General features: G+C 37.4%; 1 long non-coding RNA gene across 2 annotated transcripts in view, besides 2 other annotated features; it reads left to right on the top strand.

Annotated features, from left to right (window-relative positions):
- LOC105379137 (uncharacterized) overlaps positions 1–23,565 on the top strand; it is a 32,012-nt gene extending 8,447 nt beyond the window's left edge. Inside the window, exons 1-3 of one of the 2 annotated variants that reach the window (XR_948693.3) lie at positions 5,608–5,692; positions 20,374–20,545; positions 23,180–23,565. This is a non-coding gene — a long non-coding RNA (uncharacterized LOC105379137). Of the gene's footprint in view, positions 1–5,607; positions 5,693–20,373; positions 20,546–23,179 lie in introns of those variants that run through there. The other variant, XR_948694.3, reaches the window with a different exon arrangement.
- Positions 17–706: an enhancer, noted in NCBI's record as "NANOG-H3K27ac hESC enhancer chr5:116279971-116280660 (GRCh37/hg19 assembly coordinates)". NCBI's record gives its function as "activates a minimal SCP1, AML or CMV promoter by ChIP-STARR-seq in naive H9 embryonic stem cells {active_cell/tissue: H9 hESC(naive)}" and the evidence as "EXISTENCE:reporter gene assay evidence [ECO:0000049][PMID:30033119]".
- Positions 1,719–2,918: an enhancer, noted in NCBI's record as "BRD4-independent group 4 enhancer chr5:116277759-116278958 (GRCh37/hg19 assembly coordinates)". NCBI's record gives its function as "activates an origin of replication core promoter dependent on BRD2, P300/CBP, MED14 and CDK7 cofactors, and independent of BRD4, by STARR-seq in HCT116 cells {active_cell/tissue: HCT116}" and the evidence as "EXISTENCE:reporter gene assay evidence [ECO:0000049][PMID:35650434]".
- Positions 23,566–23,717: the final 152 nt, after the last annotated feature.

The following is a 23,717-nucleotide window of genomic DNA, read 5'->3' as shown; positions in this document are numbered from 1 at the left end:
GTTATTCCTCTCAAAAACATGAAGCAGAAATAATATTCTTATTTGAGACATGTATATCATTTAAGTAGACACCAAATCCAGGTGAAATTTTCTGAATTTCAGAATACTTAGAGTTTCTGTATTGACTCATCCTAAATGTTATCAATACCTGTTTTTCCACTTAAAATTTCTAACACTATTAACAACACATTTAGCAGGTTATATACAATTCCCTTATTGTCAATGATCTTTGAATATTATAAAATATGCTAATGATTTCACCCTTCAGGAACTCTTTTGAATTCAGTGCACTAAGTCATAGACACACAGGACATTTTCAGGGCATGTTACCTATTATGTCTCCAGGGAAATAGGAATTTAAAATTTTCTTAGGGAAACAACAGTTTTGCCTTCTGCTAAACGCTATGCAGTTGGAAAGTATGTGAATATGCTTGGGAAACAAAACTCTAGAATCCAGGAATAGTTAGGCAGCTTGCAAAGATACTTATCTAGGATCAGAATGCTCGACAAAGGAAGTTGAGCAATGCAAGGCATGGTTTCCAGCTGGGGCAGAGTTAGGCAGGTCTTGATGCTTATAAGGCCAAAACAAGTTTACGAGGTTAAATGGTGGGGAGGGTGTGGCAGCTGTGTGAGTGCAATCAGGCAAGCGGTAGTTTAATGCAGGTGAAGAGCATGGTGATTCTGGGCCACCAGATGATTCACTGGGGTGATAAGGAAAGAAACCAAGATGGGAGCCTACGTGCAAAACACAGATCAATGCTCTGGAAGAGGAAAGGTCTGTGGCTTGAATGCACAGCATGGTTTGGACTCATCTCTGGCATACAACCTGCCTGATCTAGGACAAACAGTTTAACTTGCAGCTCTGACTCAACTAGGGCTGTAGCTGCTGCCTTGTCAAGATTAAGGAAGGGAAGAGGTTGTGTTAACCTTGGCCCAAAGGAGGGAGTGGGGCATAGATGATTTCTCCAGAAAGGGGCAAAAAAGGCAGACATTGATGCTTTAATTGATATAAAAGTAAATAAAGCAGATCTCTGACAACAAAGTGCTTACCACGTCATCAGGAAGGAAAGCCATAACGTAGAGATAAAGAACCTTACGTGTAGTGAAAATGGGGCAGGTGCGTTTTGAGTTGTAGAGGAAGGCCAGCTGCGGCAAGTCTTGAAGGCCCAAATGCAGTATTCAGTCTTTATGCTATAGGCATGGGGAAGCCTTCATAGTTTTTGAATAAGGGGATGACTTCATAAAGGTACCATTTTAAAGCAATGGATCTGGTTGTAATGGATAGGGAGAGTTCGGCATGTTTTCATAAAGATACATATTTTAAGCATAATCTCTCTCTTCCTTGTGGGAGTTTTTCCATTTTTCCTTTGGTGTCCTCAGATTCCTGACTCTGCTCTGTCATATACACCAACATGCCAGCACTCTAGGGCCTTGACGTTTCAGAAAGGAGTACAGTAAAAATGGCAGCAAATATGACCATAGCAGTAACAACAACTATCATCTTGTAGCCAAGTGGAGCTCAGAGTTGAAAACAAACTTCAATTCATTTGGGGATGTTTTAGAGATATATAGACTGTCACTCTTCACATCTCATTTTCAAAATTCAAGAACCCTACCTGCTAATGGACAAGAACTCAGAAGTTATTTAAAATATTTGATTCTTTGTTCTAATAATAATGAAAGCCAGAGAACCACAGAAAAGAATTTTTGTAACGAAGTCAACTTAAGTATGAATTAACTACATCTAATTAAGGTAATTCTTTAAAATATCAAGCACTAAAACTGACAAAAATGAAATGTCACTGGCCATACACTTTCCAACATCCTTCCTAATACGTGAGCCTCCTGAGAATTGTTTAACCTTACAGAGCCATGAACTTACCTCTGCATTGTATGTTTCATGTGGTGATGATGAGCTATTAGAATATGATCCCCCATTCCCAGCTCCTTTCTCTCCCTTCGAGATTATGTCCGTCTTCCTCTTTATTTGCATCATCTTTCAGATTCCCGGAGTTGTTCAGTCCTAAACCTAGGAAACTTGAGGGCCTTAATGTTCTACGAAGTAACAACAATATTGTCAGAATGACAGTAGAAACAGCCATCATAGTGACAACATTCTATTCACATTCTGTCACTACATCACTAATTGCAACATGACCATAAAGCTGTGGAACTTGAAGGAAAAAAGAGATGATGAGGTCATCCAGAGCATTAGTCAGTCTTTCTAATTGCTAGCATATAGTTCCAAGGTTTCCAAGAGAAACCCTTATTTCAGGATTTTATAACTTGGCACTTGTGATCCACTGTCGACTTAAACTCGACATGAAAGGCCCCAGGCACAGGAACATAATTAATATATTCTGAGTCATATAAAAAAGGGGCAACCAACATAAACTCCAGTCATTCACAAATGGCTCTGTTTTAAAATGATCTTTTTCAAGCGGCCATTTCTCAGGTGCTCATGCAGCCAGCAGTGCCATGGCCATCCCCATCCATCACCCACAGAGAATTCTGGAAGGCAGGAGCCACACATACCATCAAATAACCTCACAGGCTTTTGGTGAGGATGTGATTTTTCAGGCCAGGTCTTTGTGTCTATTGTTTCAAGCCCATGAAAATGGTCGGCATATTAAGGATTTTATTGCTACTTAATTTTTTAAACTATGAATTTGTACCAAAAAATGTGATTTAAATACGTTTTGCAGCAGTTACAGCACTTTTCTTCCCTCATTGGCACTACTCTCCTGGTAATGACTGGAGGCCACAATTAACCAGCCAGCTGCTCTTGGCTAGCCTCTGCTCAGGGTGTTCAAAGCCCATCAGATGATTCTCAACATGTCATTATTATTGCTAAGAACAACTGACTACAACCAACTGAGTAAAGCAAATGATGTTTTAGAAATTCTACAGAAAATCATCATTGTGCAAAGACCCAGCGGACTACCTGGGGAAAAAGAGGTAATAATAATAAAGCAGTGTTGATGAAGATAATAATAAAGCAGTGTTGATGAAAATAATAATAATGACAGTGGCGTTTACTTTAGGATACACTCACGAATAAGGAAGTCAGCAATCCCTCATTACCATGCATCACTCAAACTGACGTGGGAAGATTTTCTTAGCCTATGCATATTTATTAACCATTTACACATATTCAGCATTGTAAAAAGTCAGGCTATAATTCTCATCTAAAGGGGCTTATGATCTAGTTATAAAGAAGTTAACACATACAAAACAATCTGTGGAAACATCAAGACAATAATTAAATGTTAATTTGTGAGAGTTGAGAGGAGATGAATGAAATAGTGAGAGACTGAAATAGTGAGGGAAGTCTTGGCTGAATCATGGGGTTCTGATCAGTGGAAAGAAGAGGAGATTCATTGCAAATGAGAGCATCCATGTTAGAAAAGGTAAGAGATTGAAAACGTGCCAGTTAGAGGTGAATCTTAAAGTCTGCATAGCACCTAAGCAAAATGCTAGGAAGTCACTGTTAACACTTGAAGGCTGTTTCATTCTGGCAACTGAGAGCATGTAAGAATGAAGACTCAGACCTGCCCCAGACCTACTGAATCAGAATGCGTATTTTAACAAGATTCCCCAGGTGATGCTGACCTGCATTCAGGTCAGATAAACACCACCATAGACTATGCAGGAAAGACCGGAAGGCCAGAGAGGAGACTGGGAGAGCCGAGGACACCACCCGGTTCTGTCACTTACTTTCAGGGATAACTTGGCAGATCATTTAACTTCGTAGGGCCTCAGTTCCCCCATCTGTAGAGGAAGGTAGACTAGAAATGATCATCAAAATTCTCTAACAGAAAAATGATTTTCGTCAATTAAAATCTGATATGAAACCCAAATGTGTCAAACCAACACAAGTAAAGTGCCCATCTACTCCACATAAAATGTATCTGAAGGCCAAAACTGGAGGGCATTGTGTGATGCCAGAAAGTACTGTTTTTCTTCATTCTGAAGGTATACCTTAGAATTCTTTTGTTACCCAGGGATAAACACATGTAAAGGAAACTGTGGGGTAAAGACTCGATAATATTCCTCTTCTCTCTGTGTTAATGTCTCCCCAGCCATAGCATCTCCCACCGGAGAATGGACATCAACCTCATTATCCACTTCAAGTCAACAAGTATTTATTAAGCATTTCCATTTTATCTAGATCATAACCCATTTCCTAGGAAGAAGTCAACATAAATATGAAATATATATATGTGTGTGTGTGTGTGTGTGTGTGTGTGTGTACACAGAGGTGTTCTCAAATGCGGCTGGCCTCAACAGAATGACAAGGAGAGGCGCATCAGGAAACCAATCTTTATTAAACACTTACTAAACACCAGGATCTATGCTAGATACTTTCCAAGAATGATCTCATTTAGTTTTAAAAGCAACCCCACAGAAAGGTGCTATTATTGTAATTTTAAAAGTAGGACACCAAACTACAGAGGTTAAACAAAGTCACACTGATAGGAAATGATGATGACAGCTTTGGATTCAATCTCTTTCTCCATAGGCTTTTTAATTAGTCCCAACTCATGATAAACCTGTCAAAAGGGAAAGGATTGTGAACTTCCCTACCCCTGGGCCATCATGATTGCCCAGGGAAATTGCCCTGGAAAGATGAAATCTTTCCAGATCGATGGTTCTCAACTTTGGTTATATAATAGAGCTACCTGGGGAGCCTTTTGAAATCCAGGTGGGTAGGCTAAACCCCAGATGGATCAAATGGGAACCAAGTTCAGGCTTGGTCCCCAGAGTCCCAGCTGAAGTGATCTGGAGGCTGAGGATTTAAAAGATTTGTTGACTTTCTTTCTAGGGAAATTTATCTAGGAAAGCTTTGCCATGGTCAATAACTAGAGATGCAGTCGACATAAACTGTTACATATGTTTTGGAGACTAAGCATGCTAGGAAGCCCTCTTTTAAATGTAGGTCTTCAGATGAAAATATTATATTTTTAAATTCTTCTAAGACTTCTTTATTCATGTACAAATGTATTGTACCTTTAACTAGCCTTTTAACTAACAAAAACAAGAACAAAAACACATGATGAGGTCTGTGAGCTGCCTGGCTGAGCCTCACTTGAAAAACCATTCAAAATGAACTGAGTCCACTCCGGCTGTCGCCACATCTGTTGTGTCCTGTTTATTCCCTTGGCAGCTGCCACTAATACACATATTCTGGGTCTGATGTCAAGAGGGTGCCTGCCGGATCCCAAAACGTCAAGAGGGGAAATGAGAGAAGGACGGAGAGCAGAAAAGATTGCACATTCTAAAGCCCGAGCACCTTCAAAACGTGGTCTTTAAAAAAAAAAAAAATCCATTAATGCCATGTGATATCTTAATTGGGACTAAGAAAATCTCAGAATAGGATTTTGGGAAATCTTACAGATATGCTTTTTTAAAATTAGCATCATGCAAAATAAGCAAAAAAATATTTTTTTAAAATTAGCATCCTGCAAAATTACCCAAATGCTTTGAGTCTATTAGGAGAACTGGTTCCACAACTGCTGCAGTGAGGGACAGGGTTGCCAGTTCTGCATGTGGATTCTTCTGACTTGCTTTGATCACCACTCATTAAGCAGCCAACTCTGTTTTTCCAGCCTCTGCTAGATTTATTCAACTATCACCAACAGTGACTTCAATGAGAGTTCACAATTCCCAACAAGAGCCACCAAATAGAGAGGTAAAAATGCATCTAAGGTGAACTATGAGTGTGACATTGCCAGATTCAGAGAGAAGGGAATTTTCCAAGCATCAGACAAATAATAATAATAATAAAACAAACAAAGCCAGGCACTCTTACCTACCTTTGATAAACAATGTCCTAAGAGAGTCACAGGTTACTCTTCTCAGAACCTAGCCAATTCAAGTCCTGACTTGAATCCTTATCAACTTTGTGGCTCTCATGAGTTACTGACAATCTCTGAGCCTGTTGTTACAGTTTTAAAACAGGGTTGTGATAGCTCCCACCTCATGAGGTTGCTTTGAAGAATAAAGAACGTAATGCTTAGACCAGAGCCTGGCATATAATATATTCTCGGTAAATGGTAGCTGCTGTTATTATTGTTGCCTCTATCAGCATTTCCAAACAATTCATCTCTCTGGGTCTGGTCTATTTAAAGATGAGAAGTTAGCAAGTACTGGTCTGTTTGTTCCTAATTGTCTTTGTAAACTAATGAGGCTGTGATTTTCTTAAGAGTACTAACTAAATATGGCTTTGTTGGAGATGGGGCAGGGTGGGGGACTGGGGGAAATCAAAACAAAAGAAACAGCAACTCAGCCAGTCATGCAGATGCCGTCCCTGTGATGTGTGTGGGATCTCTGGGGACAGCCTCTGCTCTGCCTTACTATGCAAGCAAAAGCCTCACTCTCTCTTGCCACAGCTGTCTGCTCTCTCTTCACCAACATTCTTTTCACTGAAAGCCACTTTCTCTCAGGCTAAATTGGCCAAATTGAATGAAGTTCAAACAAGAACAAAAGAAAGGTAAAAACTATGGTACAGACATGCTTTCAACCAGCAGCATTCATGCATTTCAGCTTTCAGAGCTTAATCAAATATTTGGGTTACTGTCCCCCATCTACGAAATAAAATTCTAATTCTATTTTACTTATCAAAAAGTATCCATAGCAATAAAAATCAATTTAGTTCTATCTTATACATTACTTATAGATGTATGCTATAAGTATATATCTAGTATATAAGATGTATACTATGTTATACATTAAGGTAAAAATGGTGTAAAATAGCCAAATAATAGACTGATAGATGGATGGTTTGATTATATAATATTTCTGTTATTTTTTAAGAGCGCCGATAGCTAATATACAAAGAAAGTAAAAGTAGGTTATCAACTTGTCATTAAAAAGTTATGTTTCATAAAACACATTCAGATAAATTCCATAGTATAATAATGAGAGGCAGTAGTGTGCTGGCTAGTAGTAGCAACTGGGTTTAAATCCCAGTGCTGTCACCTACTGCTATATGACCATAGACAAGTTAATGACTCTATTGCTTCTCTCCAGATTGGGGATAATATCACTAGCACTAGGCTAGGCGTGGTGGCTCACATCTGTAATCCCAGCATCTTGGGAGGCTGAGGCAGGTGGATCACAAGGTCAGGAGTTCAAGATCAGCCTGGCCAACATGGTGACACCCCGTCTCTACTAAAAATACAAAAATTAGCCGGGCACGGTGGCAGACCCCTATAATCCCAACTGCTTGTGAGGCTGAGGCAGGAGAATCACTTGAACCCGGGTGGCAGAGCTTGCAGTGAGCCAAGATCATGCCACTGCACTCCAGCCTGGGCATCAGAGTAAGACTCCATCTCCAACAAAAAAAAAAAAAAAAAAAAAAAAAAAAAAAATATATATATATATATATATATATATATCATTAGTACTACCACATAGGATTGTTTGAGATTAAGTTTCTATCTTTCAATAAGTTAAAATATTTAAAGCACTTAGACTGGTGCCAGCACATAGTTAATGCAATTTAAGTGTTTACTTTCATTATTATTATTTTATAAAATACCTAATCAGTCTTTTTTGAAAGTGAGTATTCCTGTGGGATTGGGTTGAGATAGTGTTAGTTCCTTCCCAAGATATAAATAACCACAGTCCCTTTGTAACCGTGGGACCCGCCCAAGCTTACCCTACTATGTTGATAACAAAATGTTGAGTTACCTAGTAAGTGTAACAGAGTCAAAAACAAGTCATGTAACCTGGACAGTACAAAAAGCCTTGGTTTCTAACAATATCTAGGACCAGTGATTCCTCCCCTCAGAGCCAAGACTGGGACATGACCAGAACCTGAACACCAGAGCTCTTTCAGAAGCAAGGTGTCCATTGGCCTGGAAGATCTAGGCCAAAAATCTGCCTCAGCGTGCCTTACCATAAATGGTCAAATTTGAAGCCCTCCAATCAGACCCTGCCAAGCCAACATCCCTAAATCCTTTCCGTTGCCCTCTGATTCCTTAAAACTTGCCCCAGAACTTAAACCTGGGAGATAGATTTGATCTTGACTACTGTCTTCTTACTGGCTGGTTTTGCAATAGAGCTTTTCTTTTCTCAAAAGCCAACGCCACTGCGATTGGCTTTTGTGCACATTAGGAAGTGAGCCTATTTGCTCAAGAACACCCTCTTGGGTGGGAATCCACAATCGTGTTTTCTTCTCTTAACTCCTAGAGCATTCAGAAGGTGTAATTTTCCATGTATCATCTTTGACTCTGTGTCTTTTTTAACTTTTTCCTATACATCTGAATATCAAAGACACTCTAAGCATTTGAGGGAACGGAACTATGACTTATTGGTTTTCTGATCCCTTTAACACCTAGCACCCAGTAAGAGCTCAATAAATCTTTGAACGAATGAATGAATGAGCCTGATCAAAGCCGATTAACATATTTGGAGACAACTTGGATGAACCCCTCAGTTCATTATTATCCAATTAGTTGAAGACTTCAGACTGTTAGCTTTCTGAGAACAATTAGAACCACTTAGAAGACTGAGCACCAGATCCTCAACATAGTACATAGAAACCTCTTTGAACAATGGACCCAATTTTCTAGCTTTCCTTATTATCATTTTAGTCTCAGTAAAGCTAAATTGCTTGCATTTTCCCGAACGTACTAGGCTCTTTTTGCTCTTATCATTTTCTTTAACTTTGTTTTATGGATAACTCATACTCATCCTCTAACTCAAAATAAGTGAACATCTTGTGTACAATAAGAAGGTCTTATATAAGTGACCTTCTTACAACTCTAAGAAACCATCCCTAAAACCCACATAGATGTTCCACTTATTTATTACAGTGTAACAATTCCCCCCACTAACCCCACCCCTCAATGAAAAATTCAGTACCTTAAAACTAAATTGCTTTTATTATTTCTCATGGTTCTGTCAGTCGACTAGGCTCATGCAGGGTGTCCCATGAGGTTATAGTTAGATATTAGCTGGCAAAGCAGTCATGGAAACTCTTGACTGGGCTCAGTACCCAAAATGGACTGTTATTATGGCTGGCAGTTGATTCTGGCTATCTGTTGGGAGTTCAGCTGTGGCTACTGATAGGGGCACCTACACAAGGCTTCATCAGGTGGCTTTGGAGTTTCACATCCTGGCAGTGGATTACCCAGAGGAAACACTGCAAATATAAGTATTTCCAGATATGGGAAGTAGAAGCCGCTGGCACTGCACCATATGGTTAGGACCTGCAAACTGGCACAGCATTGCTTCTGCCACATTCTATTAATCAAAGTAGTCACAGAGCCCAACCAGAACTAAAGGACAGGGAACACAGACCCACCTCTCAATAGAGGAATGCCAAAGAACTTGTGGCTGTCTTTTAACTGTCACAATGGTCATATGTGCACTTTTGGACACCTGGATATACCTAGTTTAAAATTTTTAAATTGCAATATGTTGACACTGAAACACTTGGATTCTCACTCTAAGCTTCTTTAGTAAGTGGCAAGCACTGTGCTGAGTAGAAATTACATATCAAGTACATACACATAGATTGAATTAAATTAACATTAGTTTGGGAGAAATAATAAATATTTTGGAAGAGAGACTCAGGATTCAAAAATCTCTAGAGATGAGTATGAGCCAAAACCCATTTTAATTTATACTTCTAGAAAATTACGTACAGTTCTGGTAATAATGGCTTAAGAAAAAAATTGATTGAAGACTTGTAGAAAACACTAATTTTTAAATTACAAACACAATTTTTATAACTTTTTTTGCTTATATCTCTCTTTCCAGATGCAACAAACTCCCTTATTCCTCTTAGTTACCACATTTAACATGTCTAATGTGTTTCCCTCAAATTTCTTCTCACCCACGTATTATTTTCATGCATGCCCAACCAGGCTTCCACCAGCCAGCCTCTGCATCTTTAAAGAGTAGACGTGAGAACTACCAGAGAAAGTCCCTGTCCAATGACTAATGGATGTGGGGGCATAAATATCCCCTCTCCTTTACTCCTTGGCAGGATAATTCTAAGACTTGTTTTACACTACCTTTCTAGAGTTTCTCCATGCAATTATGCTACCCCACTGTGAGAGGTGGCCTAATAATTCACTTGTTATTTTCTCTTTCCTTCCCTACATCAATTCCCCTTGCCCAAGCTAGTGTTCCTTGACTCCCAAATAACTTCTGCACTCAAATTGTTGACTCAAGGTCTACTTCCAGGGGAACCGACACTAAAATAGTCAATGAGCAAACTCTTAAGAAAACAATACATATTTCTTATGGCTAAAGTTTTAGTGAGATACAAGACTAATCTGGCTCAAGTCTGTTCCTCAACAGATTTAAAAACAAAACGTATTTCATAAACAGATCACTACTTGTCACTTGTCAGGGTCAATATTTGTAAGTAACAGGCAGGATTTTAACCCAGTCCCTGAATGCTTACAGGTTCATAGGCTAAAGTAATCACCTAAAAATCAAACACAGATGAACCTAAAAAGGCAAAGCTTTTTTTTTCTTTTTAAAATAACATGACAAAAGTAAGTAAAAGAAAATGGTCCTCCAGAGACTCCAAGCTTTCTCATGACTGCCCTTACTAAAAAAGCTCCACGAGAACCCACACGGGGTTTGGGATGCCAGGGATGAAGGACGTGCCCTGAGGAAGTGGTTTGTGTGGGATGGTCAGACCATGGTGAATAGTATTTAACATGGTTGATATATATGTACCAGATAGTTCTTCAGCTATATAAGGATCTTGGGAATGAATGCTCAGTATGTCAAATTGATCTGTTTCTTTACTCAGTTCCAAGTGTCCATCCCATTTTTTTTTCTCACATACTTGTTGGAGAAAGGCCCGCTGCTCTGGTTTGAAGTATCGAAGGGGAATGAACATGAAGGCCATGGTAGGGACTGTCACCAAACCCTACTGGCTTCCTCTGTGCTAAATGTCCTTGCAGCCAGGCCACTCAGTCTCTGAACAGCACTGTCCTCCACCCCTAGTTTTACCTCCTGTATTCAGGATGCTTGGTAGGCAAGGATGCAGGGCAAGGGCACTAGTGGGAGAGGCCCACCTTACCCAGGACTGCCTCAGTAATCTGGATAGCAAAGGGCCTCACTCAGTGTTCTCTCACACTAGGCTTGGAAGCAGCCTAAGAGCAACTGACTCTTGTGGTCCAACAGCCACCATTTCCATTTCAGGCCCTTGTTCTAGAAGAGACAGTAATGGAAGAAGGAAAACCAGTTTATCCAAAAAGAGGTTGGCTCAAGGTCTCTATAGCCTAGTATGGAATCTCCTTGCCTCTTTGTTGTGGCCAATATCATCTTGGTCACGTCACTTAGTTGCTCTGAGCCTCAGGCTCTTATTTATTGTTTTGTATTTAAATTAGTTCACACTTAGCCTGATACCAGGCTTCTTGGTAAATGGTAAATATCATCTTCTCCTGAAATGTTTAGATAGCCTGCTCAAAATTCAGCTGGGCCTTGTCATACATTTATTAACTAGCTTTGCTCTCAATTCTAAAGCCCTGCCTGGGACTCAGGTGATTTCAGTAGAAGGGGTTTTATTTCTTTTACATTAGAAAATTCTAATGTCCAGGTCTCATCCCATATCAACTGAAATCGAATGTCTACAAAGGAAGTAAAACTTGTCAAGGTTCTCCAGGCGACTCAAATGCATGGGCAGGGTTGAGAACTCCTTAAAGTGATCTTACTTGGCCAAAACTAAGCTGAAATTTGTAGAGAGATACTGTCATTTCATGCAGAGGTGACTGGTCTGATAAAACTCTGAAAACTTTTTTCTCTGAGAAATGGTTGAAGGAAGTGAATATGTTTAACCTTGGGAAAGAGGTTGAGGGGGAGACTCAGGTGGGGACATGGAAACTTTCTTCAAACATTTGAAGAGGCCTAAGATAACTATTTTTAAATGAAATGATTAATCATCTTCTTTGTATTGCTCTGAGATGTAGAAGTTAACAGGTATGCAGATTTAATCTCAAGATAAGAAAGATCTTCTAGTAATTTCCCCAAAGAGAATGACTCTCTAAAACATAATGAGTTTCTAATCACTAGAAATGCTCAAGCGAGCCTAGATGATTATCTTCAGAAAGAGATTGGACTGATGATCTCAAAGGTTGCTTCTAATCTAAGATTTTATGAATTAAGATTAAGTAATTTTTATTCCCTTTTGTAATAGGTCTTCCCCCTCTCATGTGCCATGGCCAAAGGAATGCTTCCAAATGAAGCAAAGGGCTTTCAAAAGCCACTTGAAATAAGAGAGTAAAAATAAAACCAACGTAAGAAGTATTTGTTTCATTTAATTTGGCTTTAGTATTCATAGATTTCCAAGAGTTTTGACAAAATAATAAGATATTCTTCTTTAAAAAAAACTGTTCTTATCTCTCCGCCTGAATATTGCAGTTGTAGACTTTATGGAAACACATGGCTACATAAACCCTGTGCAACCTTGTCTTGTGAGCCAATTCCCATACCACACACGCACTTGATAGCATCTTTCTATTGAGAAGCTCACAAAAAGCAGACAAATGCAGGGTCAAAACCCTGAGATCACAGGCAATCATTTAGAGGGAAGGGATTAGGGATTCCCTGTCAGATGTCAGTCAACTCAGAAAAACCTTCAGAGAGTTTGACTTCTTCCAAGTGAAATATGTCAAATGCTTATTATTTTGATATTTACTATTATGCGGAAAACAATAATAGGTCTCCAATATGGTTGCCACCTAACTAGCCCTCCAAAGTGATATACTGAATTCCATAATAAGACGTTTTTAATAAAGTCTCTTTGGAGGTCACTTTTTTACTCAGGAGCATTTTTATTTTATAGACCCTTTGCTATAAAAAGGAGCACTGGTTCTTGTTATATGCCTGTCAGGATTTATTCCTCTTTGACAAGAAGGAATTTTTAAAAACCGAACTTCCAGAATAAACAACAATCACTTTTAGAGCTTGATGTTAAGATGTAAAGCAATAATTTGCAGTTTCAAGAAAAGACTTCAAAAGCATCAGAAATGAAATGCACTGAGGTTTTTCCCATGCATTTGACTTCAACTTGGAGAAAAAGATAAAAATGAAATACGTTTTCTCTCTTCTTTATGCCTAGCTTTACTTATTCATGTGGCTTAATTTTGATGAATGGGTTAAATTTTTCTCTGAGTTATACCTTGTCTTTTTTCCTTTGCTTAGAGCTTACTTCAGTCAAAGAGTTTAGAGATATAGATTCTAATTGCCCTCAGCACTGGAACAAATTATATTAGATACTTTTGAATAGTCAGGGAAAACAGAAAAACTGGCCTTTTCACTTTGTTCATTTGCTGTTCTCTCTTCCATATTGGTATGAGTGGGCCAGCCTGTTTTTTTTCCCTTGTAGCAGCAGTTTCATAAACAGCCCTAGTTATTGTGATAAACCTCTACAGAAATTATATTTTTTCAAAAAAACCATCAGACTTCTAATATTTAATAGAACATATTTTAATACCATTATAAGGAAGACAATGGCACAAACATGCATTTGATTGAAGTAATTCTGTGAATGTATCTCAAAGAAATTCTTAAATCCTTATTCTTGAAAAAATAAATGTCTCTCCCAACATGGAGTCCAATCACTTGTTATAGATGGTGATCAGCCTCCAGGAGAGCTGATCACAGGCCTGTCTGGGGATAAGGATTTGCTAAATGAATCAGCAAAAGTACTACCCAAGGTGGAAGTGAGAAAAAGTAGGCAAACTCCAAAAGCCTCCCATAGAGAAACCTTTTCATTTCCCATCTTCCTTTGCAATCCTGAAGGTACCTCTAATTGGCACAGAAAACAAACAAGGCACTCTTTAAATATCTAATGCTTAAATATGTTGCTACTTTAATAAATAGAATATGTGATAAGTGCGTATTCTACTATACATATTCTATCTACTTTAGTAAATGGAATCTGTGATAAATGGTGGTTACTGATATCTCTTCTAATATTCTGATAAAGCATCTATAAAATCATTAACACTTAAAAAACACATAGTGACACTAAAAAAATACTTAAAAATTATAAGAAAGATCTACTAATACAAAACCTACAAGTAAGCTTTGATTATTCTTGGGCAACTGACACAGGCTTTAGCAGCAGAAAACAAGCTGACACAGCAGCCTGAAAGGACCTAGACAGACTCTCCTGTTTGGGCTGCTCTTCTGGCTGTCCTCCAACTCAGTAACCCAGCCCTGTACCATTTAGAACTATCAGTCACAGACCCACTGCTATAAGAGGTGGCTAGAGAAAAGCATCCCAATAGAAATCCTATTATATTCACTAGACAGTTTCAACTCCACCATAACAATAAAACAGGAGTAAACGGAGAAAGGAGCTGTGTCCCTTTCCATCTTGATAAGTTTAATTCTTGTAAATTAGTCAAAAAATGTAAAAGAGTAGAAGCCTTTTTAAAGCCTCAAAGCACTAAATTCTTGGGAGTGTGAATTTTCATCCATCCTGCTGAATAAGTTTATCAATGAATCAGCTGGGATTAACACAGGAGAAAAAAGCCTTACTATATCCATTGGCAAATACAGGGTCTGCAGAGATCTCCCCTCATTCCAGGATGAATAAACAAGAAAACAGCAAAAACAAGAAGCAAGATACTTAAGAAGATATACATCAGGACAATGAGAGAGAAATACCATCCTAACAATTCAGAAGATTATTTGGGGTATCTGTTGGGTTTGGTGACCAAAAACTTACTTCCTTTCCTAACAGATCTTTTTATATTTCAGGAATTAATATTTCTCTATTGGAGACAATACCTTGAGACTGTATTTGGGAAGTCCCCCTGGTTTCTAGCCAAGAGACAGTTATCTGACTCAATTGAGATAAACTAGTGCCCCTGCCTGGCATTTAGTCTTGAAGAGGGGTTGGAGTTTTTCATCACTGCAATAGTGTGTGATTCCTACCATCAGCCTGTTACCTTGGCTCCTTCCAGTCCCCCTGGTTTTGTAAGCCATTGAACGTGTTTTTTCTTCCTTAATTTAGAATCATTTTCTGTTGTATGCACCAAAAGAATCTCAATGGACACAAGGACCCACTCTAAAAATTATTTCTGATGGGCAACCAGAATAAAATTATAGAAATAAATGAATGAAAGAAGTGCTGTGTTTGGAGAAATGGAGTAAAAGCCACAATGAAAGAATACAAGAGAAAATAAAAGGTAGTAGTGTAAGACAAAGAAAGGATATAAATAAACTGAAGCTATAATTCACGATTAAAATAAACTCCAGTGCTAGTGTAAGAAGCATTTTTGGGTCTCAGGAAAATGGAGTCAGCGTGAAGAAACTTAAGAAGTTCTCAGAAAGGCAGAGAGATTTAAAAAATTAGAAAAGATGGGAATAGAAGAGGGTTAAACAACAATATATCATGTTTCAAGAGGAGAGATCAAAATTACTGGAAGAAAATAAGCAACAGAGGAAGGAGAAAGAGAAGAAAAAAATAGAGAGCAAAAAAATTACAGCTTTCCAAATCTTTCAGATTGAAGGCATTATGAAAGCACGAACAAGATTCATGAAAAGAGATTCAGATTTAAACATGTACTAATCTACAAAAATGAAGAAAACAAGATCTTTTTAGGATCTAGGCAGAAATGAAAATTTATCTGTAAATGAAGAAAAATTAGACTGCCTCAGAATTATCTAATATAACATTTCATCCCAAAAATAACTTTGAAAATATTCTTAAGTGTTTTAATCACCCCACTGAGCTATAATTTATATAAATAAAATGTATCCATTTCAAATGTACAATTCAATGAGTTCAGACAAATGTACACATCTGGAAAACGACCATCTTAATCAAGATTCAGAACATTTCCATTAGTCACGAAAATTTCCTCATTCTTCTTTGTTGAGACTCCCCATTTCTTCTCCCAGACCATCCTGATTTGCTTTTAGGCACTATAGTTTTATCTACTATAGGCTTTCCTATACATGGAGTGATAAAAATATATATTCTTTTAGTTTGGGTTTCTTTCATTCAGCATAATGTATTTTATATTCATCCAAGTTTTTGCATGTTTCAATAGTTTGTTCCTTTTTATTGCTAAGTAGTATCCCATTGTACAAAAGTATTATAATTTGTTTCTTCATTCATATGCTGATGGATATTTGTCTTGTTTCCAGGCTTTGACAATTTTGAATAAAAGCAGTATGGACATTTTTGTGCAAACATATGTTTTCATTTCTGGTTATATGGCTAACTTTATAAGAAGTTGTCATACTGTTTTCAAAAGTGCTTGAGCCATTTCACATTCCCACCAGCAGTGCATTAAAGTTCTAGTTGCTCCATATCTTCATCAACACTGCATTTTAAGGCATCTCAATTTGAGCCTTCTTAGTGGACATGTAGTGTTAACTCCTTATAATTTGCATCTCCTTAGATGACTAATGGTTTTGAGCATTTTTTTCATGTAAAATCCCATTAGAAAACAACCCAAAGATTTGAATGAACACTTCGCCAATGAGTATACTGTAGTCCCTCATTATCAGCACAGGATAACTTCCAAGAGTCCCCATACAAACCGTCCCTCAGTGTCCATGGGAGATTTGCTCTAGGCACCCTGTGGCTAGTAAAATCTGCAAATGTTCAAGTCATTTATATAAAATAGCACAGTATTTGCATATAACCTATGCACTTTCTCTCATATACTTTAAATTATCTCTAGGCTACTTATAATACCTAATATATAATAAATGCTATGGTAATAGTTGTTGCTTGGTATAGATTATGAAAAAAATGACAAGAAAAACGTCTGTATATATTTATTACAGAGGCAACCATTGTAGACCTAACTACATTTTCAAGCCATGGTTGGTTGAATCCACAGACACAGAACCTGTGGATATAGAGGGCTGATTGCATTCTATGATTTTTTCCTATATTTACGTATCTATGATAAAGTTTAATTTATAAATTGGACATAGAAAGAAATTAACAAAATTAATAATGAGATAGGACAATTATAATAATAGAGCAATAAAAGCTTATATGAATTTGGTCTCTTTCTCTCTCTCACAATATCTTACTATTTTCAAACTGCAGTCAACTGCAAAAAGTGAAACTGTAGATACAGGGGAACAACTGTAAACAGATAGCAAATAAACACAGGAAAAGATATTCATCATCATTAGCCACTAGGGATAGGCAAACTAAAGTTACAATGAGATACCCCTATATTACCTGTTAGAGATACCTATCAGAATGGCTAAAATAAAAAATACTGATAATAACAAGTGCTGTCAAGGATGTAGAGCAATCATACCTCTAGCATATTGTTGATGGGAATGTGAAATGTAGTGTCTCTGGAAAGCAGTTCAGTATCTTCTTATAAAATTAAATATATACTTACCATATGACCCAGAAATTGCTCTCTTAGGTATTTATCCTAAATAAATGAAAACTTATATTTCCACACAAAAAAGTTTTATGTGAATTTTGATAGCAGCTTTACCTATAATAGACAAAAACTAGGAGAAAAAAAAAAGCCCAAATGTCCTTCAAGGGTGAATGGATAAATAAACTATAGTACTTTTTATAATACTATAGCACAATGGAATACCACTCAGAAATAAAGCACACTATTCATATACTAACAGCTTTGGTGAACCCCAGTGACATTATGCTGAGTGTAAAAAAGCCAATCCACTCTCAAAATGACAGAATTATAGTGATGAAGAACCAATCTGTGGTTGCCAGGGTTTAGGGTTGGGGCAGAGTACAGCTCTTTAGGAGTACCGTAAAGGAATTTATCTGCAATGATGGAAAAGTACTGGATTCTGATTATAGCTACGGTTGCATGAATCTATAGATGTGATAAAATTTCCTAGAAACATAAAACAATAAATAAATTAAAAGGGCAGAAAGGGCTGAGAAATAACATTTAGAATATTGGTTGCTTCTGAGAGAGAGGGGAGACCAGGCTGGGATGGGGAAGGGCACATAGGAAATGTCAAAGCCAATGGCAATGTTCTTTTCCCTAAATTAAATAGTGAATATTATCATGCTTGATACTTTATATTTATGTAATAAATATTCTTTGATAACTATTCTGTGCTCAATAAAAATAATCTTTCTAAAAGGCAAGGAGGGGTGATATAAATTTACCTGGAAGAATATATAAATACCACACCCAAGGTTTCCTTAAAGTCACCAATTCAAATAATTCTCTCCCAGAGACCTTGTGAGTCTACACACACTGTCTCCATAATCATCCGCCTTTACTTTTTGCTTGAGAAAATATGCTCACCTCTCTTGCTGTGTGTATGGTTTAAACTTGATCTATGAAAGTAAAGTGACTGGTTTTATGTTAGTAAGTAAATAATACCTGTTGAAAAATTAAATTCTATGTTACATTCTTGGCATTTTTGTTCATTTTTTAAACTACTCTTTTAAGTTCATTCTCTGTTACTGGTAAGTAAATCACATAATTTTGAAACTGTGAAAAAAAAAAACAAAAACTCCTAACGGGGAAATATATTCAGTAGCTGATTTACTGTGAGTGATTGGAAAAATCAAAGCAAAATGGTTTCCACAAGGTCTCCAGGTAAGTTACCACAATTTTTAGGTTTTCACACACACACAAAAAAGATTATGGAAATTTTAAATGGAAAATATACAACTGTTTAACCTGCTGGTGGCCCTGCATATTAAAGAAGACAAACGGAGAACCAAATAAATCATGCCAGGAATACAGAGCAATATAGTCCTGTCTGTTACAATTAGAGAAAAATAACTTGTCTCGATATTGTTTTATGCCAATTAAACTGTCAAAATCATTGCCTTGAGATATATATGTATAAATAGGAATTAATATATGTAGATAAACAATGTATCTTTTATTATTTATTTTATAGGTGTAATCATTTACTAGAAAAATATTTCAACAGTTAAATGATGGTAAACAAGGGATCAGGAAACTTTCTTCTATAAATATTCTAAGATATTTATTATCCTAGAAGGTTGTGTGGAATTCACAGCAACTACACAACTCTGCCTTTGCAGTGCAAAGACCCCATAGACACAAGTAAACAAATGGGTGTGGTGATGTTCCAGTAAAACATTATTTATAAAAACAGCCTGCAGGCGAGATTTGACCTGATGGCCATATTTGCCAACCCCTGCTCTAAAATATGATGTGTGTAAGTATGATAGTGCATGTGCACCTAGGTGCATGTAGTAGTATGTGTCCCTGTACCTTTCTCTCAAATCAGAACTGCTCAATACGAATTTGGTTCCCTTTGGCAGTTTTGCTCAGATAGTGCCAAAGGTGAGTATTTGCTTCAATGGACATATTACACATCATGTAATAGTGATATATCCCTAAATATAAATGGTGATAGTGATATCCTGTCATTATTACATGATGTATAGTATACAATTAAATATATCATGTAATATGTATGACATATTCCTAAATATAAATCATATAATAATGATGATGATGAGCAAGATCACTGCAATTGTGAGCCAGAAAACTTATCTTAAATAGATGATTCCCATGGCAGTCTTCCAAAATGAAAAGTATTTTCCTCACCTCCCTTGTCTCCAAATACTAGCCCTGAAAATCTGGTTTATTCTATTTCCCTATTTCAAAATGTTTCCTGGAATGTGAACATGATATGCAGACCAGGGAAGCTTGGTTAAGCAGATTATAATTTAGCTATTATTGTATTTAATAAGAAAGTGTTCAAGTTATACTCTCAAGATTATTTCTAAGATGAATTATTTTTAATAATTTTTCTTTTAATTACATATTTATATTAAACAAAAAGAGCTTGTGCTTTCTCAATTTTATACATCCAGTAAATCCTTTGCTAGTTTTCTTTCTCAGTTTATATATAACTAAAATGTTTCTCTCATAAAATTAAGGCTGAAAAGTATCACCATATATTTTCATTGGATTGGATTTTTACTGCGGATTTTAAAGCAAATAAACACCTGATTCAAAAACAGGAATAGGAGGCAGCGTCAGCTTCATGGTGCATTCAGCAGGCCCCCATGTTTGGTTTAATGCTCTGCTGCTGCCATCTCAAAATTCTTAATTTTGAACAAGGGCCTCATATTTCATTTTGCACTGGGCCCCAAAAATTACATAGCTGATCCTGCAGGGCAAGATTAGAACTCAGCAAAGGCAGAAAAGCTGTCTGAATGAAGCAGTTTATGCAAGTTTGGATCCTGAAATCTCAATAAAAGATTGATTTGCTGGACTTCAAATGTAGTTCCCCACTGATGTCAACTCTTCAGAAGGCAGAGAAAACAAGAAGGGTGTCATAGAGGATAAATTAAAAATTATCTTGCATTTCTGAAAAAATAGATAATAATAGTAATTACATTCCTTTTGTTTCTCCTAAAAATGTCAGAAACAGCCAGGCTGATTATGGAAGACTGACTTTTCCTCCTCCATCCCAATGATTTTCATAATAAAGTGAATGGAGGACAAGTAGATGCCATGATTAATGTCAATCCTGATATGAAAAAGAAGAAAGAAGGCTGTCCTTTTATTCAACAAGGCATTGGAATAAGTATAAAGATGTAAGTAGGTAACACACACATAATATTTTTTATCCTCATGGCTTAGTATTTTTTAATGGGCTAAATTTCTAATCCTGGGCTCTTAGCATGGATTATCTCAACTCTAATGAACTAACTGAAGCAGGAATCCTAAAATAAGGGACATAGTGCCTGTCCTGAAGCATTTAGGATTGAGGATGAGCCAAATAGAAAACTTCAGCAGCTAGGAGATGGACCGAAAATAATAACCACCACTACCAGTCTTTTGAAACTTGCAACCCATGCTCCTCAGCCCTTCTCTTGTTCTATTTTCTCCCATAACATTTTTTCCTTTTCATCTGCTTTATAATGTAAGCTCCAAAAAGGCAGAAATGTTTGTTCACTATGTGTCCTGAGCTTCTAGAACAATGCTTGGCACCTAGTTGGTGCTCAATAAAATATCAGTTAAATGATAACTGAACCATTGGGTGGATTTTCAACTATAGTTGGCCTCACACCTGAAAACTGTTGCTGCTGGGAAAAAGCAGATAAAAATCAAAAGCTTAGAGAGAAAAATAGGCTGCAGCAGAGAGAGTAGTGACTGATAATTATTATTAAAAAAAAAAACAGAAAATTTGAATGACGTTTGAAAATGAGGAGGATGACAGGAATCACAAGAGTCCTCTCTGATATTCACTATTTATGCTCCCAAACTCTTTAGAAAATGTTGAAATCTAAAACATATAGACCTACAAAGCCCGCTTTCTATTTACAGTTTTCTGGTACAGACAATGCATGGGTTAAAGTAAAACTGTCTTCTAACAGCCAAATACCTCTATGTTAACAGGTTAGCTAATGGGGCTTAATCCTTGCTGGATGCTTTAGGCTTATTGTGACTTTGTCGGCTTATTTATGACTGTTCCTCACATCAGGGGCCCAATTACCTCTTTGGTGCTCCCTTGTCATCCATCCTTCCCAGGGCTGGGAGCTCTTAATAGTTCTCAGACTGGGCAATTCTGTTTTCCTCCAACCCCCTCCTTCCCACTGTCTGCCCTGAATGTAGTCATGGAATATACTTGTTCCATTATTCCTCCTGCTCTGAACCTTCTATGCTGAAGAATCTTTCATATTCACATCCTGCCGGGACCGTTTAGTCTTGCTTTGGTTGTTAATTTGTTTTAAACAGAATAGAACTGATCAGGAAGCACTGGGATTCCAGAGCCCCTGTCATCCTCTCTAAGCCCAGTGCCTTTAAATGTTAAGGATGGGTCAAATCTCCTCTGCCCATGTCTCAAAGGTCACCCTCCCACACAAAGTTGGGATGAGATAATGTGGATCAGAGTGCCTTGTACCTACAAAGTGCTAGATGGCAGGGACTCAGTGCTTCTAGGAAGGACTGGGGAGCCCAGAAATTGGATTTGCTTTCACTAAGGACTATTTCATGACAAATACCAACCAACTCTACCTTATTTAAGAAAAAAAAAAAAAAAAAAAAAAAAAAAAAAAGTGCAAATGTGTTACATTCATGATGGGGAACTAAGAGCCAAAATGCTCTTGAGAAAGAACCAGGAAAGGGATCACACTGGGGACCTGCTTTCTCTTACCTGTATCCTTTTTTCTCTCTAAAGACACACTTCCTCTTCCCCAGTATACTACATGAAACATGGCCATACCCATTTCCAAATTTACATGTGATAGCTTCATCCACCCACTGCTCTAGGTTTCAATACCACCACCCCCACTGGGTGGCTAGGTGTGAGTTAGGTGTCTACCTCTGAACTTAGTAGTTTGGTGCAAAAGAAACTGTGTTTTCTGCCATTGAAAGTAATGGCAGCAACCACAACTTCTGCATCAACCTAATACTATGACCAGAAGCCAAGGAACATGGCTGCTGATAACCCACTTCATGTGTGACATCCAGCCTATCACAGGCTCTGGGGAAGTCTCTGAGGAGAAAAAAAAAAAAAAAAAAAAAAAAAAAAATATATATATATATATATATATATATATATATATATATATATATATGAAAAAATTTCAACCCAAGGGAAGAGAAAGCTGAGGCACATAGTGTGGTTGAAGGTTGAGTCAATATCTGATTGAGGATTGATTTTGAGTATATCACAGTCTGTCATGTAGATTGTCCTAAACCCAATCCTCAGGAATTCATATTGAGTCTTAGAGAAAAGTGGTTGAAATGAAGTCTGAAAAGTATACTTGTATTATGTGCCTAATTAGCTACTGTAACAAATCACCACAAACTCAGTGTCTTAAAACAACAAAAAAAATTCTTTCTCAGTTCTGGAATTTAAAGGTCTGAAATCAAGGAGGCGGCAGGGTCACACTTCCTCCAAAGGGTCTAAGAATCCTTCCTGGACACTTCCAACTTTTGATGCCTCCAGGCCTTTCTTGGCTTGTGGTCACATAACCCCAATTTCTGTCTCTATTGTCACATGGCCTTCCCCTCTTTTGTCTTTTGTCTGTGTCTCTTCCTCTTCTGTCTCTTACAAGGACACCTACCTGTCATTGAACTTAGTATCCACTTAAATAATTCAGGATAATCTCATCTAGAGATCCTTAATTACACTGAGTAATTAATAATTACTTCATTATTAGTTACATTAATTATTAATACATTGACAAAGACTCTTTTCAAGAACAAGGTCCCATTCACAGGTTTCAGGAGTCAGGATATGAACAAACATTCCGGCAAGCCACCACTCAACGCACTGCAGCATCTGTTTCACTAAAGAGCAAGATTCCAAAGCTTAGAATATATGCACCCATGAGAGGGAGAAGAGGACATTTTTTGCTCGGGGCTTGTACCTAGAGCATGTGCAACATTAGGAGTCTCCTAACATCAGAAGATGACAAGGCTATTAGGCCTCAGAGAGCTTCACTGGCTTCAGGAGCAGCATGAGCAGTCAGGGCAACAGCAGGACTGCTGGTCACAAGGACACATGTGCAGAAGAAGGATTCCCTGATGAACCCCAAAATCACTGAGGACAAAATTGACAGGCCAAGTGCGTCCAAAGAAACACAGTTTTATGACGATTATTGTTGCTCCATTATTAACTTCCACAGGCAAGTGTGTTCTGAGGCACCCTAGTTTCGATTATAAGTACATACATATGCATTTAAAGCTTTCAGTTGCATTTTCTTCTAAATAGCTTAACATCACAAAATCACTATTGTTTTTGGAAAGATGAAAAAG

This window comes from Homo sapiens, chromosome 5, assembly GCF_000001405.40.
Source record: "Homo sapiens chromosome 5, GRCh38.p14 Primary Assembly".
NCBI lineage: Eukaryota > Metazoa > Chordata > Mammalia > Primates > Hominidae > Homo > Homo sapiens.
Note: the sequence above shows the minus strand (reverse complement) of the source record. Positions and strands in the feature narration are given on the sequence as shown.